Raw genomic sequence first — 20,290 nt, 5'->3', positions numbered from 1 at the left:
AATAATTAATATAATGAATTAAACATATTGGAGAGTGTTATGTGTATATTATATTAGGGAAGTGTTAAAGAAGGACCATCTCCTTCAGGAACTTTAGCTAGAAGCAAGACATAAACATGAAATTTGAAATAACCTATCTCAATTCTAATAACTAATGGTGGGGATTGGAGTATATTTGTTTTTAAGGTCACTGATTCATTTAGCAACATTTATTGAGGGTTGAGTATGTACAACTGTTTAGGCTTTGCAGGTGCAAAGATGAATAAGATAGTCTCTGCTTTGCAGATGGCAGTCAAATAAATCAGTAGTTTCAGGATAGCTTTATGGTTTTGTGATTTAACATTTTTGGTGAATTACACAATTAGATTGGAAGCAACTTTTATTTGCTTTTTTGAAAAATATATGTTACGCATCAGTACCGAATGGCAGTGAGTAGGATTCAATCAGTATCTTTCCATCATATCTATGCTCAGTCTATAAACAATGATTGAGCACCTACTGTAAGGTAGTTATGTGGCTACACACTACATTTGTAAAGCTCAGCAAGAAGTAGTCACTTCTTCTGGGGGCTCCTAGTCATAGATTTAGCAGACCTGTCAATAAATATTTGCAACACATGGTACATACACACACATACAGATCATATAAGAAAAAGAGGTGGCTGGGCAATGTAGCTGATGCTTGTGTTCCCAGGAATTTGGGAGGTCGAGGTGGGCAGGTCGCTTGAGCCCAGGAGTCTAAGACCAGCCTGGGCAACATGGCAGAACCCTGCCTCTACAAATAATACAAAAATTAGCTGGGTGTGGTGGTGCACACCTGTAGTCACAGCTACTTGGGTGGCTGAGGTGGAAGGAACACTTGAGCCTGCGAGGTTGAGACTGCAGTGAGCCATGATCACACCACTGCACTCCGGCCTGGGCAACAGAGCAAAACACTGTCTCAAAAAAAAAAAAAAAAGAAAGAAAAAGAGGAGAAGTGTTTTTATTGCTTAAGAGGATATACTGGGTGCAAGACTAGTTAAAGCTTTACAGTAGAAAAAAGAGAAAAATTAATATTTCCTGAAGCAGTTATCTATGCAAATAAGGGAAAGGAAGAGCATATGATGTAAAAGGTCAGTTCTGTCAAGGTAGAGAAGCACAACACATTTCAGGGCACTGCTTGCAGTTTCTATGTGGGGGTTCCTTGGTTGGGGAGCCAGCTCATTCTGAGGGGCAACTGGGAGTGTTTTCACAGTGTCTCTATTCAAGGCAAAACTCAGAATAGAGGAACATTAAAATTTAATAAGTCTCCATCCCTTGTTTCATGACAGAGAGTGGTGTGGGTGGAGATTGGAAGAACTGGAAGTTGGGTGGCTTCCTGGAGACTAAGATGCACTTGTTCTTGGGAATGACAGCAGATGCCAATGCACCCCTCAACTCTTCTAGCATCACTGTGAGCAGAGAAAACAAGGCCTGGCACTTCATTCCAGGTAGCCTGTTACTGTCACCTAAATCACATGAGAATGGCATCCCTCAGCCACTAAGCCTTGGAGAGCCCAGGCTCATTTCCAGCAATCAGCAATCCAAGCCCTGCTTCTGCTGATTAGGACAAGACCTGTTTTGGAGAACATTTCCTTTCCAGGAAAATTCTGAAGTAACCTCATACTTTTGAGCTATAATTTTTACCATTTTATTAAAAAATAAAATAACATTCTAGATGAAAATCACGATGATATTATTCATAAATAAACTCTCAAACCTTTGAATAAAAATATCTTTGGAACCTCTCTTTCCATTTATGGAGGTATTAGGGAAGTTAAAATGAGAGGGAGTGGGGTTTTTAAGTTTTTATTTTTTTATTGTGACAAAATATACATTAAATTCATCATTTTAATCATTTTTAATTATATGGTTCAGTGGCATTAGGCACATTCACATTATTGTATAACCATCATCACCATCCATCTCCAGAGAGTTTTCATCATCCCAAAGTGAAACACTATACCCATAACTTACCAATAACTTCCCATTTTCTCTCCCACAGCCCATGTGTAGCCATTGTTCTATTTTCTTTCTCTGTAGATTTGATTAACTCATATAAGTGAATCGTCCAATAGTTGTCCATTTTTGTCTGGCATATTTCACTTTAGCATAATGTCTTCAAGGTTCATGCATGTTGTAGTATGGATGAGAATGCCATTCCTTTTATAGGCGCAAAATATTTCATTATATGTATCACATTGTGTTTATCCATTCATGCATCCACAGGCATTTGGTTTATGCCTGTTTGACTGTTATGAATAATGCTGCTATGTACATGAGCATACAAATATCTTGAGTTCCTGCTTTCAGTTTGTGTGTGTGTGTTTGTGTGTGTGTGTGTGTGTGTGTGTGTGTGTGTATACCTACAAGTTGAATTGTTGGATTAAATGACAATTCTGTGTTTAATTTTTTGAGGAACCACCATACTGTTTCCCACAGGGGGTGTATCACTTGACATTCCCACCAGCAATGCACCTGGTTTTCAATTTTCTGGGGAAGTAGGTTTTTACACATGAAAAAAACATGGTGCCTTCAAAAGGGCATTTCAAAACAATGCTAAAATATGTGCATTTGCAGTGAAACATTTCTCTCTTAAATTTTTTTAAGAGCAATGTTTGTGAAATTCATTTTGGTTTTTAACTCTTCATTTTGAAGAATTCAATATTAATGACATTCAAATTAAGTAAAAGTGACAGCAGCAGCACTTCCCATAAAGACCACAAGCTGCCTGCGGTGTCAGTTCAATGACTAGGAATCCGTCAGGCACAGGAGTGGTGGTGAAGATTAGGGAAACGAGAAGAGGGTCTCGAAGCCGACCAGTGAGCTGCCAAGCCCATTAAATTAAGTAAATAACTTTAGGGAAAACAAGAAAGGGCAGTGATGAACACAAAAAAGAGAAATCAAAAGGGGACACCTTTGACACAAGCAAAGAGATGGAGGTCATGCATTGTAAGAGGCCATTGGAGAGTTGTTTGATTTGTAAATATTAGGGACATGAAATTTCAGGGAAAACAAAGCAAAGTCTATCAAAAATGGTTTTAAATAAATAATTCTAAGTACAAAAACCTAAATCAACTACTGGGGAGTTTGCAGTGGAGGAAGGAACAGCTATGGAGGATTAAAATATTTGTGTGAAAAATAAGCCTACGTGTGTGGAAAGTCAAAAAACTGTATTCTGCCTCCTGTTTATAGATACCTTACATTTTGAATGCCAAGTATTTACTAGCAGAGAAAAGCTTTCTTCTGATTTAAGGCATGATTGCGTAAAGGAAGGGAATTGCTGGTTCATTCTGCAGCTGAACAAGTGTTTCCTTAATGTCTCTTATGTGCCAGGTCCTGGACTCAGGAATGGAAGTCATGGAGATGAAAAACAGATGGTACCTGCCTTCCAGGAGCTTACAGTTGTGCTGGGCAAGGCAGACAGATCAATTACATGGACATTCTTAGTACTGTGAGGAAAATGAAGCACCAGGGGACTGTGCATGAGGGAGCATAGGGAATGGTTTCTTGCTGTGGTAGCCAGAGACTCCTAAAAGGCTTTCTGAAGAAGAGGTCTGAGCTGACATGAGGTGAATAGGACTTAGCCTCCCAAAGAGCAGGAGATAGGATTAGGTTGGAGTAGGACCAGCATTTCTAGGTGGTGGGACCACCGTGATCAGAGGTGAAGGAAGTATAAGAGTCAAATTTGGTGGGGAGGTGATAGGGGAAGAGAATAGGAGGTCTACCAGCAGTTCAGTGGTATTCCTAGGTCATGAATTTCAAGGTAGGAAGCAGCAGAGGATAAAGCTAGACAGAAAGATCAAAGCTACACATTTTTCTTTTCTTCATTAATGTCTGAATCCATCCCATGCCAATCCCCCATCTCCCTACACAAGCACACCTTTTAAAAATAATCACAACTTTGATGTATTTAATTGAATATTCATTGTAAGTAGGCCAGTCTTTGGAGATGGAGAAGCTGATTGATAATAACAGTAATTAGCTTCAAGCTCTCAGAGGCTTTGGCTACTAAGTTCTCTTTCCAGCACTGCCTAAAGTGGGCATTGTTGTTGGTTCCCCAGCATCCATTCTGCTACAGCCCTGTTGAGTAGCAGCAGTGTGGTTTGGGGAATTGACCTGAGCTGGTCAGTTGGTTTAAGGGTAATCCTATTTCCACTGCCAGCATGTTAGTTCAGTAATAGGCATGTAATTCACTCCTGGCCAATGAGAAAAGAGAATAAAATTTGAAGGAGGTTTGGGAGAAAAAGCCATAGTCAACCAAGCCCTTTCTGCTTCAAGATGAAAACTAAAGCTTGTAGTCTAGATGCTACAAAGGGACCCAGGTTCAGGATAAAGTCGGTGCTATGGATAATAGAATGGAGAAAGAAAAAAAAAAAAGCACAGTGCTTGATGAAACTACCGAGATGCAAATCAGCTAATTCTGAACTTGTGCCATCACTGGACTTCTTGTTCTGTCAGCTAATAATTTTCCATACCATTTAATCTAGTTTGGATTTTTCCATGTGTAATATGAAATCGTGTATACTAAATGGGCCATGATTTTTGTGACTTTTCTGTACACACCAGTATAGTATGCCCTTTTGTGAACCTAACCCATTTGAGCCTCATTTTCCTTATCTGTGAAATGAACATAGTTATGTCTCAGAGTTTTTCATGAAGATCATTTGAGATTCAGAACAAAGCCCAAAAGGGAGGTATGAACTAATACATGTTAAGTGCCCAGAGTGTACCACTAAATAGGAAGCTTAGAGACTAGGAGAAGAGAAATTCATAAATAATGTCCACATAAAGTGGTAGAAATAAGATCACGTGCATTTGGACCTTTGTGCAATCAGTTTGTTTTTTTAAAGAAATATCATTGAATATTTGAGCAGTATGTTAGGTGTAGAGCTGTTGGATTTGCTGATAGATGAAAGGAAAGTGATGGATCATAGAGTGATGTTAAGGATGTCTCATCAGTTTCTGTGTAACTTGCGAAGACTGAAACAGGCAAATTGTTTCTGCTGCAGTTTTACTTGTCTGACATTCATAAGAAAGGTGTGTCTAGGCTGCAGTTAATATTTGGGAGTCACCAGAATGTTGATTGGGAACATAGGAATAGATGATATCTATTAAGGAGGGAGTGGATAGTGGGAGGAAAACACCTCACTTCTTTTGGGAAGCCTGCCTCATCCCTCAGGTCTAAAGTACTCATCAGAATCCTGGCAAAGATGAGGCAAAGAGGAAACTATGGCCTAAATGGAGTGCCGAATAGAGAGTTGGACTTTTTGAGTCACGGAAGCTGGCTGGAGGGGAAGAATGCTGAGAAAGGGGAAAGCCTAAAGATGTTGGGTAAAAGATTATTGATGAAGTGGAGACCTGGGGAAGATGGGGGTATTAAGTATCTGGCCTTAACTTCTCTGTGAATAAAGGAAAGGGGATGAGGATAGGAGTTTACCTGAATTTGAAGAGTTGGGGTAACAGGGAAATGAAATAATTTACTACCAGAGAAGTCAAAACACACATACCTGCCATCTGCACACAGACATACATGGTGGTTTATGTAGTGGAATGCATGGATCTTACAACATTCATTGCTATTTATTTGATAATACAGGGTACATAGGGGGGCTCAGTAAGCGTTTGTTAGATGAATAAATATCCCCAGAAAATCAGCTTTAGGTTTTATTTGTGGAATATCTATGTTACAGGGCATGGAGAGAGTAAGATGCAAAAAACTGGAAGCCACTGGGCTTGATGCCCTTGAGCCCTCCACTCTGGCTTTTTTTTCTTTGCCATGTAGAAGTGACAGTTCTGTTTGAAAATCACCAGTCCTTTTGTTTGCCTCCTTTATTACATTGTGAGTTCTTTGAAGGTAACATCTGTCATATGTAAATCCATGTTTCCAGGATCTAACCCAGGGATGGCACATAGTAAGTGCTTAAGAAATATTGCTTAGATGAATGCAAGAGAGTGGACTTGAGTGGATGCCTAAATAATAAAGAAGGTCCAGAAGAAGAGAGGGTGAGCACTTTTCAGATGGAGGTAGAGATACAAACTAAACTGCAGGGTTGAAATAATTGCATGATTGCGTGTGTGGGAAGCAGTAACAACGTTGCCTGATTTGGTATTCTCATCTGTAACATTTGGATTTGTAAGTTGCTGAAAGTCAAACAACTTGGAATTGAGGGCTTCTGGATTTGTACCTAAATCTTGCTGATTTCCAAGCTCAAGGTTTCCCACTATACCGTGCTCCCTCCTCACCATATTATTTATCGTAGTAATCACACCACCTCTCGACTCATAGATGCCTCGTTTTTTTCCTACTTAGGCTTGATGAATATTTTCTGTCATGGACACCTTCTTTATGTGGTTTGTTTTCTGAGTTCTATTTGTTGCTTTTTCCTAGCTCTCCACTGTGGTTTGAATCCACGGGGTATTGATCACCCTGCCCATGCTGAAGGTATTAAACTGCAAATTGAAGGTGAAGGTGTGGAATCTCAATCCATTAAAAATAAAAATTTCCAGAAGGTGCCTGACCAGAAAGGAACTCCCAAGCGACTGCAGGCAGAAGCTGAGACGGCTAAGGTGCGTAATATTCCAGTTAATTACGGAGATTTGAAAGCTGCAGCCTTTATATGTTGTAGTCCAGCTACAGAGAAGAGCTGATAGTGCTTTCACTAATTACCATTGTATCTGTGGTCAAATGAGCACTGTATCTTGCGGATAAATAATTATAAATGAAAATATTAACTGTATTCCCTTTGGAATAAAATTGAAACACGTTTGTGGCCAGTCTCATAGTGTGAGGCTCTGAGGTTATAGAGAAGAATGCCCTGGACTTGAAGCTAAAAGATTCACCTGCCAGGCTCAGACTTACCACTCTATGGTGTTGGGAAAGTCATGTGACTTTCTGAGTTGCAGATTCTTCATCTACACAAGGGAATCATAAAATGACTTCTCTCATCAGGTTGAGCAGATCAAACGATTGTATGCTTGTGGAAGCATTTTATAAAAGCCCCAGTACTGCATGAGTATGAGAGGCTTGTGCTTACAGGTATTGTTAATTAGTAATAGCTGATATTTTATTAAATATGCATGTATCTCCCAGGTACTGTTTGAAGGACTCTTGATCTATTGACTTATTGTGTCCCTGTAACAATCTTGTGAGGTAGACAATAGTAAATAGAACCCTAAGTAGTGAAAGAGAAAATTATTTTATTCTGCTGTAGTATGCTTAGTTCTTTTCAGTCTTTAACCTAAACATAGGTAACAGAGAACTGACAAAATAGGCATTGGTGAAGAAGTACAGAAACTTGGATTCTGTGGGGTAGGTAATTTTTTAGTAAGGACAGCCTCTTCTAAAGGCTCCCTACAATGGGACTGGCACTATCTGGATATTTGTCTGAAATCAGTGCAGATGTTCATGTTGGGGGCACAGTGTTGTTGAAGATACTCATATTAGTTTTCCTCTTGGACACTGAGGAAATTAATCTTCATATAGTTTTGTTTCTCCCTTTGTGTATTCCCTGCAAGACAATTTCCTTTCAAATGTTGGTTGAGCAAATGAATGTATGCATGCCTTGGAAAGCAAATGTTGTAAGCACCTAAGAAAAATCTTAAGGAAAAAGGTCACCTTACTGTTGTACAATAACCACCTCCCTTCTCCTCCAAATAATGTCTTCCAAAATCAGATGTGAATTTTTTGCTTTATGTACAGTTTGGAATAATTACTGTTATTGCTTCTCTTCTTTAGTGTGGATAATTAAAAATTGTTGACATTAAGTATGTGTGTGTGGTAGGGAATGGGGAATGATTACCAAGATATATATTGCAGGCATTTTACGCTAGACATTTTAGCTAAGAGAAATGGCAACTCATAGGATATTTACTGGCTGATGATCAATGAAGTTTGGTTTGTGAACAACATTGGAAATGAGTGAACCCTGTTAAGAAAGCTAAACCTGATCAATACATGGGCATCTTGAAAGAGCCAGGAAAAAACGCCTTAAGGGTCCTCTTTAGGAAGATAAACAGACTTTCTATGAGTGAGATATTTTCCAAAGGATGCCTAAAATATTAAAAATTAGAGTAGAGAGAAAAGTTAACTATTGATATTTGTCTGATTTAAATTCAACTTTAAACATTTCTAGTGTGTATCTCCTATATTTGTAAAGATATTGGTAATATACAAAATTTGACTCAAATCTGATATGATTTTATTTCTGATTATCTTGAATATGTGAATTGTGAATCCTGAAATTTTGTGTCTTTGCCTCTGAAGCATTTTATAGTTCCTTTGCTGAAAACATACTTCAATGAGTGTGGATGTGTATAATGTGCCTTTCTTCTGGAACAAACTAATATTGGAAACCAGATTCATTTGAGTTTATGCAAATCATCTACAGTGAACACCCATCCCCAACAAATGAGGTTGAAAGGAGATTCTGGGTTTTTCACACTGCCATCATATTTAGGGGTGAACAGACTAGAGGCTTTAGTAAAGAAAGCTTAGACAAAGAATTTGTCCAGTTGTTTAAATGGAGGACGAGGAAACAACAGTGGCTGCTGGGGGAACAGTTAAAATTACTACAGTGTGATTACTGTGGATGCCAGCAGCATGACTGACCCTGAAGCTTTTGTACCTTAGACAACATGAACTTGTTTTGTGCAGGTACAAACACATTTACATTTTCCCTTCCATTGCATTTAGAGGGCTGGTAGAGTTGTAAGCCGTCTTCTCTTTTCTTGGGTGTATAATTGAATCTCCGGTAAATTGGCCTACTTTAAACCTACCTTACAAAACCTGTGGCTAGAAATGCATACCTCTAAAGCCATTCAGTAATGTAAATTGGTACAGCTTTTCTGGATGACAAGCTTGATAATAGTTATCAAAATTTTAAATGTGTGCCATTAGGGGGCCAATAATTCCCTCTGTAGGAACTTACCTAAGGAAATAATCATTCATATGTGCAAAGATGGCTACAGGAGAACACATTGAAAATAGCCCGAATGTTCATTCACAGGACACTGGCTAAAGAAACTGTGTATTAATGCAATGGGATATAATTTTTCCTTTATGAGGATGTAGAAGACCTGTATGTATTTATGTGGGAAAATGTATGTGATAATATTTTAAAGTAGAAAGGGAACGAGAAGGGCAGGTTATGACATAGTAGATATTGTATGTTTCCGTTTATGTAAAAATGTCTGTCTCTGTATAAGAGCATCACTGAGTCTAGGAGGGTTTTCCACAATTTGAGCAGCAGATTCTATCTGAAGTTAAAATTACGGAGAAAACTTTTACTTTCTGTACTGCTTTGCTTGAATTTTAAATAAGATATGTATTCTTTTAAGTGTATTTATTTTAAAGCCCTTTTCAGATTGTCCCATTAACTTTAGTAGCTCAACCATGACTTTTTCTGTTTGTTGGGTTAGTATTACGCTTTTAGGGTGCTGAATTTCCTCACATGGCTTCTAATTCTTGCTGGTGGTTTATTTGTCAGAGAAGTGAGTTATCGTGGGGTCTTTTGGCCACGTGTGCCTTGAATTGTAGAGCCTTCTGGTAAGGTGCTTTTGTATCTGCCTTCACCTGAACTCTGGGATGCGAGAGCTCTGACCAGGTATTACACTAATGTTTCGATTTGACATTCTCTCTGTTTGCTTCTGACTGATTATGCAAATCAAGTTCCTTCATATGCAGACTTCTCACTGGGAACCTGGTTCCAGCTCCTTAGTGTGCCTTTGGGCCCTGCCACTTTGAGCCCTGCCATGTTGGTCTTTGAAACCAATCCCTCAGCACACCACCTGTTCCAGAGGAGCTTAATGAGCTTATCTTTAACAGGCAATGCTAGAGTCTGTGTATATATGTGGATTGGGGGAGGATTGTAGCATGTGCTTAATCTACCCTGTTGACACTGAAATTTGTATTGCTTTCATAATTTTAAAATGTGTGTGTGTATCTGTATTCATTTTGGGCAGAATAATACTCTATCTTAGAAAGTGACATTTTGGGACCCTTAGCCCCAATTCCTCAAAACACTCAGAACCCTTATTCCAGAAGAAAAAGGTTGTCTGGCCACAAGTAGCCTCCAGCTCTTACAGACCAAAGAGAAACCAGTAGAGTACCCAGATCACCTGTAAGTCTTATTGGGAAGCATACAGTCTAGATGGAAATAAAAAAATGAATCCAGTTGAAATGTGGATCCACAAAAAATACTTACCAACATAAGTCCTAAATTCTTGTGAGTACTTGGAAACTCAGAGAGAATATGCATGCCATGCCACGCCACAGCTATAGTTACCAGTTTAAGAGTAAAAAACTATGTTTACATAGCTTTATAGGAGGGTACAAGCAAGAAATACAGTGGCAAAGCATTTTCATTGCATTGGGAGGTCCAGAAGTTATCCAAGTACACAGCTTCTTTTGACCCATCACCCACACAGCTGCCAAGTTGAGAGTCCAGATGAGGATGAGTCTCTTTGATACAAAGAAGGCACAGCCTCTTTTTTTCACCATTCATTTATATCCTTCTAGTCTTGTAGACTCAAGACAAAGCCACAGCTCCTAAAGACCAGGAGTGGTTCCACATAGCAGTTTCCAAAAAACCAGCCCTATGGGAGACTGAAGTCCTTCTCAGACAGGCCAGCCCTGAGATTCCTTAACCCTTTACTCACAGAGCAGTCAGAACAAGACTTGCAAGGGAGGGTACTCTAGCACAGGAAGAACTTGACCTATGCTGCGAAGTATGGATAAATTCCAATATGTAGCCCTAAGAATGGAGGGTGCCTTTAGCCGTGAAGTCTAAGCACTTTGAGCCAAGGTATGGCAGCAGAAATGCCCAGGTGTGTTCAACATCAGTCTCTTCAAGTAAGAGTTTGTGTGGCAGAAATCGAGTCTGGAACAATAGGCTGGGGCCAAACTGTGTGATGGAATTTGAATGCTGGAGTGAGTAGCATGGATTTACTTTTCACCTCCATTGTTCAATACAATAGCCACTAGCACATGTGGATATTCAGATTTATTTAAATTGAATAAAATGCAAAAATGTATTTCTTTGGTCATGCTAGCCACATTTCAAGTGTTCATTATCCCATGTTTCCAGGAGCTGCTGTTTTGGACAATGTGGACATAGAACATGATCATTATGGCAGAAAGTCCTATTAGACAGTGCTGCTGTAATCTGTGGGAAACCATTGAAGTTCTCTGGGTATAGGAATAAGATGAAAAATGGAATTGTGTTGATGTTCTGTCTGATCCTCATCCTTGGACCTGAGTGGACAAGGACTTCAGTCATTTAAAAAAAAAAAGTCGAAATACTCAGGAGTTTCTTTTGAAATTGATGTTCCCAAATGCTCTGATGATTGGAATTTGTATTTCTATGGCAATTCTGGCTGTGGAATAAGATCAGCCCATCAGTATCCTATCTGTTTCCTATCTTGGAATTCTAGAATGTGTCCTCACAAGTGGCCTAAACATGACATTGGGAATTCTTGACTTCTAGACTTGATTTTCTAGGTGTTTATGAGGAAACTTCACCTTGCTGTGTTTTTATGCCTGTCAAATAAGGGTTTCATAAGGTTGATAATCCTTTGTTTTTTCCTGCCACAATGCTAATTCCTGGAGTCAGAGCTTTGAGCGTTCCTTATATTTGCATGCCTCCCCTGTACCTTTCCTTTATAAAAATGTATCCCCATTTTACAGCTGAGAAACCCAAGGATGTAAAATGACTCACTAAAACTTAGTTTCTGGCTAATAATCTGGAGGAAGATGTAACTCTCTATGTCTAATGGCTCTAAATTCAAGGTTTTTTATGCTCCTAACATGAAATATACAAATGATCTATTTATTTGAAAAGAAAATATGGTCTGTTACACTGAGAATCTGGCCAACTAGGCAAAAGAAGAGGTTAAAATGCTGCATATATTAATTACTCCTCAGGGAGAAAACAGCAAATCTTGATTGCTGTATTATATAAGGGAGAAGCAATGCCAACATCTAAAACAGTGAATAATTGCTTGCAGTTGGCTTTGGGATGCATTATGTGAATCTTTGGCAGCAGATAGCCTTTTCTCATTAGGCTAATATTAGATTTAGTTTGTATTTCTTTGGCACAGAGTTAAAGGAGCTGGCCTGGAACTTGGTGCTGGAGGCAGGAGGAGGAGAAAGCTGGGTGCTTTGGATAAGCCACAGGCAGATAAATGAGAGTTGACTGCAGGGCAACTTGTGGACATTTGTGACAGTAAGCAGGAACCATTAATCTGGGATTAAAACAGAGCAAAAAGAACTTAGACTTAGGTTAAAAGATGAAGGGTTGACTGTACTTAACCTTGATCAAATTACATTGCTTAGCTGCCTTTGAGAAGGTCTGTTGCAATTTAGGGATAGAATGATCTAATTCTTGGCTATCTGTATTTGTTGGCTCAAGGAGCAAAAATGTCTCCAAACAAAGCTGCCAACCCAATATAATGTCACCCATGATAGGAAAGGACACAATGCATATGAAACATAATGAGGATGTACTTCTTAAGAATTCTCATAAGGGTCAGAACAAGAGACAAGCAAATATGACTTCATGCTATGTGAGTTCCAGGACCCCAGTACATGTATATTGAGTTCTTGGACAGGGCTCAAACGAAACTACAGTAAACTTATATCCGAAGAGGTAAGCTTTTATTACTAACATGTTAAGCTCTGAAAAGTATGACAATTAATATGATATATTTAAGCCATAGGTTCATTGTATAATCAAGAAAAAAGAAAACCTAGAGAGCATTTGACCATCTAATTTATTTTACAAGTTAGGGAGATGAGACTCAGATGAGACTGAATGACTTCACAAAGATCTTGAGGCTAGCAGTGACACAGTCTACCTAAAACACAGTTTATCTAACACATGAACAGTGCTTTTCACTCTTTTATGCTGACAGATCTATAGGAAATAACAAGTGCTTGGAGCCACTTAGTTAATAGTATTTGTCTAGTGGACGAAGAGTACAGGATATGCCATTTGACAATGTAAAAGGAGGGCGGTGTTCAGGCGAGTGTATCAGAGCCCACTAAATTCATTTGAGTTTATCCACCCAAACTACTAAATTACTAAAGTGATTCTCTTTGGAGATTATTGGTACTTGCCATCCCTTCTGCCTATAATGTTCTCCCCTTGATCATTGTTCAGCTAGTTCCTTGTCATTTAGGTCCTAGCTCAAATGTGCTTCTCCAAGAGGTCTTTCCTGACCACCCTAACTAAATGAATCCCTAGTCACATTCTCTGACATCACTTGGTTTGATGTTCTGCATATAACTTTTTCTGGTCTGAAATCATCTTGTTTGTTTTCTGTCTCTCCACAGAATTTAAATCATTTGAAAGCGATGATCTAGTCTGTCTTGTTCACTGCTGCAATATCAATGCCTGCTACTGTGTCCAGCACATAATAAAAAGATGAAATTTTTGATGAATGAATAAGTCAGTTCATATAATACAGAAGTCCCTTGCCTCTGGGTTTATGTCTCTTGCCTCATAGTTATTTGGTTATCTTTAGCTCCTCCACAAGTGAGCAGAGGATGTCTTACTGAGTTCTATAATGGTTGAATGGTTGATGATATCAAGGGAATGCTTTTCTGGATTGGTACAAGTGGCATATTAGCCACACAATGGACAAGGGATACTTCCAAAGCCATTCCATTACCCTTCACTCTTCAAAAGTTCACTCTAGGTTGTCACTGAGACCAAGAAAATTCCTGATTACAGTCTGTGGCAGTCATTCTAAACTGCACTTAGATTCATTGTGAAAGACAGTATGGTGATTCCTCAAAGACCAAAAAACAAATACCATTTGACCCACTGTGTTAGTCTGTTCTCACATTGCTATAAGAAAATACCCAAGACTGGGTAGTTTATAAAGAAAAGAGGTTTAGGCTGGGCGCAGTGGCTTATGCCTGTAATCCCAGCACTTTGGGAGGCCGAGATGGGTAGATCACTTGAGGTCAGGAGTTCGAGACCAGCATGGCCAACATGGTGAAACCCTGTCTCTACTAAAAATACAAAAAATTAGCCTGGCATGGTGGCAGGTGACTGTAGTCCCAGCTACTCAGGAAGCTGAGGCAGGAGAATCGCTTGAACCCAGGAGGTGGAGGTTGCAGTGAGCCAGGAACGCACCATTGCACTCCAGACTGGGCAACAATAGTGAAACTCCCCCTCAAAAAGAAAAGAAAAGAGGCTTAATTGACTGACATTTCTGCTTGGCTGCAACCATGGTGAAGGTACCTCTTCACAGGGCAGCAGGAGAGAGAATGAATGCCAGAAGGGGAAATGCCAGCTGCTTATAAAACCATCAGATCTTGTGAGAACTGACTCACTATCACGAGAAGAGCATGGGGGAAGCAGCCCCCATGATTCAATTACCTCCCACCAGGTTCCTCCCACAACACGTGGGGATTATGGGGATTACAATTCAAGATGAGATTTTGGGTGGGGAAACAGCCAAACCATATCACCTGGTGTATTAGTCCCTTTTCATGCTGCGATAAAGACATACCTGAGACTGCACAATTTACAAAAGAAAGAGGTTTAATTGTGAGACTTCCCTAGCCACGTGGAAGTGTAAGTCCAATCATGGTGGAAGGCAAAGAGGAGCAAGGCATGTCTTACATGTTTGGCAGCAGGCAAAGAGAGCTTGTACAGGGGAACTCCTTTTTTTAAATACCATCAGGTCTCGTGAGACTTATTCTCTGTCATGAGAACAGCATGGGAAAGATTTGCCCCCATGATTCAGTTACCTCCCACTATGTCCCTCCTGCAACACATGGGAATTGAAGATGAGATTTGGGTGAGGACACAGCCAAACCATATCATCCTGCCCCTGGCCCCTCCCAAATCTCATGTCCTCACATTTCAAAACCAATCATGCCTTCCCAACAGTTCCACATAGTCTTAACTCATTCTAGCATTAACTCAAAAGTCCACAGTCCAAAGTCTCATTACAGACAAGGCAAGTCTCTTCCACCTATGGAGTCTGTAAAATCAAAAGCAGGTTAGTTACTTCCTACAGGGGGACAGGCATTGGGTAAATACAGCCATTCCAAATGGGAGAAATTGGCCAAAACAAAGAAGCTACAGGCCCCAAGCAAGTCAGAAATCCAGCAGGACAGTCAAATCTTAAAGTTCCAAATGATCTCCTTTGACTCCATATCTCACATCCAGGTCACGCTGATGCAAGAGGTGGGTTCCCATGGTCTTGGGCAGCTCCACCCCTGTGGGTTTGCATGTACAGCCTCCCTCCTGGCTGCTTTCATGGACTGGCATTGAGTGCCTGTGGCTTTTCCAGGCCCATGGTGCAAGCTATCAGTGGATCTACCATTCTGGGATCTTGAGGATGGTGGCCGTCTTCTCATAGTTCTGCTAGGCAGTACTCCAGTAGGGACTCTGTGCTGGGGCTCTGACCCCACATTTCCCTTCCTCACTGTCCTAGCAGAGGTTCTCCATGAGGACCCTGCCCCTACAGCAAACTTCTGCCTGAACATCCAGGCATTTCCATACATCTTCTGGAATCTAGGTTCTCAGACCCCAATTCTTGACTCCTGTGTACTGGCAGGCTCTAAACCAAATGGAAGCTGCCATGGCTTGAGGCTTTCACCCTCTGAAGCGACGGCCCAAGCTCTGTGTTGGCTCCTTTCAGCTATGGCTAGAGCAGCTGGGCACCAAGTCCCTAAGCTGCACACAGCATGGGCACCCTGGGCCCGGCCCACAAAACCACTTTTTATACAGCCTACTCCAGGCCTGTGATGGGAGGGGCTGCTGTGAAGCTCTCTGACATGCCCTGGAGGCATTTTCCTTGGAGATGAAAATTTCCTTCCTCGTTAGTTATGCAAATTTCTGCAAATTTCTGCAGCCAGCTTGAATTTCTCCCCAGAAAATGGGATTTTCATTTCTATCGCATTGTCAAGCTGCAAATTTTTTGATGGCCTTATTGATCACTGTCAGCATTTTTGTCAAAGCTGTTCAACAAGTCTCTAGGGAGTTGCAAACTTTCCCACATTTTCCTGCCTTCTTCTGAGCCCTCCAACCTGTTCCAGCCTCTGCCTGTTACCCAGTTCTAAAGTCACTTCTACATTTCTGGGTATCTTTTCAGTAGCGCCCCACTCCTAGTACCAATTTATTGTATTAGTCCACTCCTAGTACCAATTTATTGTATTTATACAATACAGTTTATTGTATTATTGTATGCTGCTGATTAAGACATACCTGAGACTGTGCAATTTATAAAAGAAAGAGGCTTAATGGGACTTACACTTCCACGTGGCTGGAAGTGGAAGCCTCACAATAATGGCGGAAGGTAAGGAGGAACAAGTCATGTCTTACATGAATGGCAGCAGGCAAAGAGAGCTTGTGCAGGGGAACTCCTCTTTTTGAAACCAACAGATCTCGTGAGACTTATTCACTGTCACAAGAACAGCATGGGAAAGACTTGCCTGCATGATTCAATTACCTCCCACTGGGTCCCTCCCACAATATGTGGGAATTCAGGATGAGATTTGGGTGGGGACACAGCCAAACCATATGACCCGGGAATCTCATAACTGGGTATAATATACCCAGAGGAATATAAATCATTCTATTATAAAGATACACGTATGTTCATTGCAGCACTATTCACGATAGCAAGGATATGGAATTAAACTAAATTCCCATCAATGGTAGACTGGATAAAGAAAATGTGGTATATATCCCCATGGAATACTATGCAGCCGTATAAAAGAATGAGATCATGTCATTTGCAGGGACAAGGATGGAGCTGGAGGCCAATATCCTTAGTAAATTAACACAGGAACAGAAAACCAAATACAACATGTTCTCACTTATAAGTGGGAGCTAAATCATGAGAACACATGGATATATAGAAGGGAACAACACATACGGGACCCTGTGAGAGTATGGAGGATGGGAGGGGGTAGAGGATTGGGAAAGATATCTAATGGGTACTAAGCTTAATACCTGGGTGATAAAATAATCTGTACAATAAGCCCCCTGACACAAGTTTACCTATATAACAAACCTGTACATGTACCCCTGAACTTAAAAGTTAAAGTCTCTGATTGCCTGAATAAGGCCCTATGACTTCTGCTACCCTCTAGCGTTGGCCAAGATTTCAGATGGTGTGGCTCTTTCACCCTCCTCTGCAAGCTCTATTCAGGGTCCCTGGTGTAAGCATCAGCTGGCTCCCGTGATTTCTGCCCCATCTCCCTGATCTGGCCCAAACTTGAAGGAAATGGAAAACAGCTTCTTCTCTTTCTCTTTAAGTGATTAGGAACTCCTCACTTAAACTGAAAAATTGGATCACCAGGTGCCAAGTAAAACCTGAAATATTATTTCCAAGGCTGTATGGATTAGAAATCGTTTTCAAATGTTGATTTCACACATACCCTTAGATATATGCTGTATTAGTCAGCCTCAGCTGCTGTAACAAATTACTGGAGACTTGGTAGCTTAAACAAGAGACATTTATTTCTCACAGTTTTGAAGGCTGGGAAATCCAAGATCAAGGTGCCAGCTGAGTCAGTTCCAATGAGGATGCTCTTTCTGTCTTGCAGAGACCACCTTTTCACTGTGTTCTCATATGGCAGAGAGAGTGAGCTAAGGTGTCTGTTTCTCCTCTGTGTGGATGCCATTCTCATCATGGGGCCCTCCACCCTCATTGACATCATCTAAACCCGTAATTACCTCTCAAAGGCCCTACTTTCAAACAACACCTTATTGGGGGTTAGGGCTTCAACCTATCAGTTTTAGGAGGCACAAACATTTTGTCTGACTTATACAGATTAAGTATCCTGTATCCGAAATGCCTGGGACCAGACATGTTTTGGATTTGGGATTTTTTTTAGATTTTGGAATATTTGCATATTCCAAGTTCAGTATCTCATCCAAATGAGATATCTTGGAGATGGGATCCAAGTCTAAGCATGAAATTCATTTATGTTTCATATACATCCTATATATATAGCCTGAAGGCAATTTTATACAATATTTTAAATAATTTTGTGCATGAAACAAATTTTTGGCTGTGTTTTGACTGGCCTATAATATGAGGTCAAGAGTAGAATTTTCTACTTATGGCATGATGTCATTACTCAAAGTTTTGGGTTTTGGAGCATTTCGATTTTGGATTTTTAGATTAAGGTTGTTCAACCTGCACCAAATTTGCATTTTGGCCAAATGCCAAATGGCTGAGTGTTAAATCACTATTGGCTGAAGTTGAATATCACCATCATAAAACAAATATCTTAGTATACAAGAATAAATCTGAACTATTAATAAGAATACCTATTTACTACAACTTAATTAAAATTATACCAAGCAGAATTTTTTAAAATTGGCATTACAGAGCAGTGGTAATAATTTCTCAGCTGTCAGCTCCTGTGGTTGTTCTATTGCGTATTTATGATACTGAAAATATGCTTTTTCAACTGAGGTCAGTGAAGGAGCAAAATACGCTTTTATCAAGCTCTGCTATTACTGTAGTAGTGTTAATGGTGATATTCCCCCCAAGTCAATAAGCTTTCCTCCTCTCCAATAATAACTGACTAAAGTCAATAACTCCTGGACTTGCCATCTTGCTGATGGTCATGATGAAGTTTCATTGAAACAGTCCCATAAATTAAAGCTTTGGATTGTACAAGGTGATTTTTTTAAATTCTCAAAATCAGGCTCAATTTTGTTTTTCTCACTTGAGGGTTTTCTTCTTAAGCAATGTTTTCACAATATTCATTATAAAACATGACCCTCAATTCAGCAACCAGAATGATCTTGTTAATGTGTGAGTCAGATCATGTCCCTCTTCTGCTCAAAATCCTCTAATCACATCCTGTTTTTCTCAAATTAAAGCCAAAGTCCTTAGTGCCCTACCAGATCCTGCATGATCTGTGCCTTGGCAAGTCCCTCCTGTCATCTGCTACTAGGCTTTTCTATGCTCATTGCTGCTCCTAGTTCAAACCAGGTACCTTCCCACCTCCAAGCCTTTATACTGGCTGTTACCTCTGCCTTGAATCTTCTTTCCTTGGGATGCACAAGGTGCACCCCTTCATTTCCTTCAAATCTTTGCTCTAGTATCACCTCCCCAGTGAGGCTGAAATGGTCAGTTCTATTAAAATAGTGTCCTCTCTTCCAAGGCCCCTGATCCCTGATTCTGTCTTGTAATTTCTTTACCCCACTAACACACTCACCACTTTCTAAAACCATACATAATTTATGTTTATTATTATTTTAGGTCATCATCCACTAGAGTGTGAACTCTGTGAGGCAGGACCCCATGTTTAGTGACATGTCTTTGATACTAACAGCCATATCTAATACATGGAAGGACTCAACTATTTGTTTGAATGAATTCTTATAATAGGATACATTTAGTCTTCAACTGGCTGGTAGGCTATTAAGATATAAAACAAACTGGAAGGATTTTGCTGTTTAAATCACACCTACAATGTCTACATTTATTAGAAAGGGAATTTTCATAAAGCAACAGTAAAACCAAAGGACACTGCTATTTGTTGCTGATAATGTTACAATAGATATGATCAAATGATAATTAATTGCACATAAGCTCAGGGTTGCCACAAATATAGTTGAAATGACATCTGGCTACTTGGCCTGCCAAAAACCAAGGCTGAAGCCAAATCCCAATAGCAGATTTTTGGCCAAATACCACAACTAAAGCTGAACTTCAGTGCCTCTTTGTCCCTTAGATAATTCCTCAGTTTAGGTAGTAAGTATTCACATGTCTAACTTGTGTATTGTGTAGCTTATCTATTTTGGGAGATGGGAAGAATCTGATAGCAGCCTTTTCTCATGTTGTACTGAATAGATGAGGAAGGATTAACCCTACACATTGCCTGGGTGAGAGTAACATCTTAGAGGTTGTTAGTTAACAGGCCAGAACTAGAACACATGGATGACAGGAAAACATCAAAGCTTGCGTTTTTTTATCAAGCAGAAGGTGTTTATAGAGGAAATGTGATTTCACTATTTTTGACTTATCTTCAAATACCATAGTAAAGAACACAGGCTCTGGGGTCTGATATCTGCTCTGCCACTTACCCAGGACCAATTTCTTACTCTCTCTGCTTTAGTGAGTGTCTTCATCTGTCCAGTAGGAATAATAATACTATCTACCTCATGAGAGAGATGTCATTAGGATCATTGGAGTTTATAAGTGAAGTGTTTAGAATAGCATTTGACATACAGTAGGCACTATATGAGATTTTTACTATTGTTATTTTTGCTATCACCTTTATCCTC

The 20,290-nt window shown here is 39.9% G+C and overlaps 1 protein-coding gene across 12 annotated transcripts in view; it reads left to right on the top strand.

Moving 5' to 3' along the window:
• Window positions 1–20,290, top strand: part of SAMD12 (sterile alpha motif domain containing 12) — a 490,139-nt gene that overhangs the window by 34,662 nt on the left and 435,187 nt on the right. For all 12 annotated transcript variants that reach the window (NR_146234.2, XR_007060733.1, XR_007060732.1 and 9 more), the window contains one exon: window positions 6,409–6,587. Coding sequence is in view for 8 of the 12 variants with exons in the window: in NM_001349811.2 (NP_001336740.1) it covers window positions 6,409–6,587 (179 nt within the window). In the remaining 4 variants the exon portion in view is untranslated. Of the gene's footprint in view, window positions 1–6,408; window positions 6,588–20,290 lie in introns of those variants that run through there.

The sequence above is a fragment of the Homo sapiens genome, chromosome 8, assembly GCF_000001405.40.
Source record: "Homo sapiens chromosome 8, GRCh38.p14 Primary Assembly".
In the NCBI taxonomy this organism is placed as follows: Eukaryota; Metazoa; Chordata; class Mammalia; order Primates; family Hominidae; genus Homo; species Homo sapiens.
The sequence above is the reverse complement of the archived record's forward strand: the minus strand, read 5'-3'. Positions and strand labels throughout refer to the sequence as shown.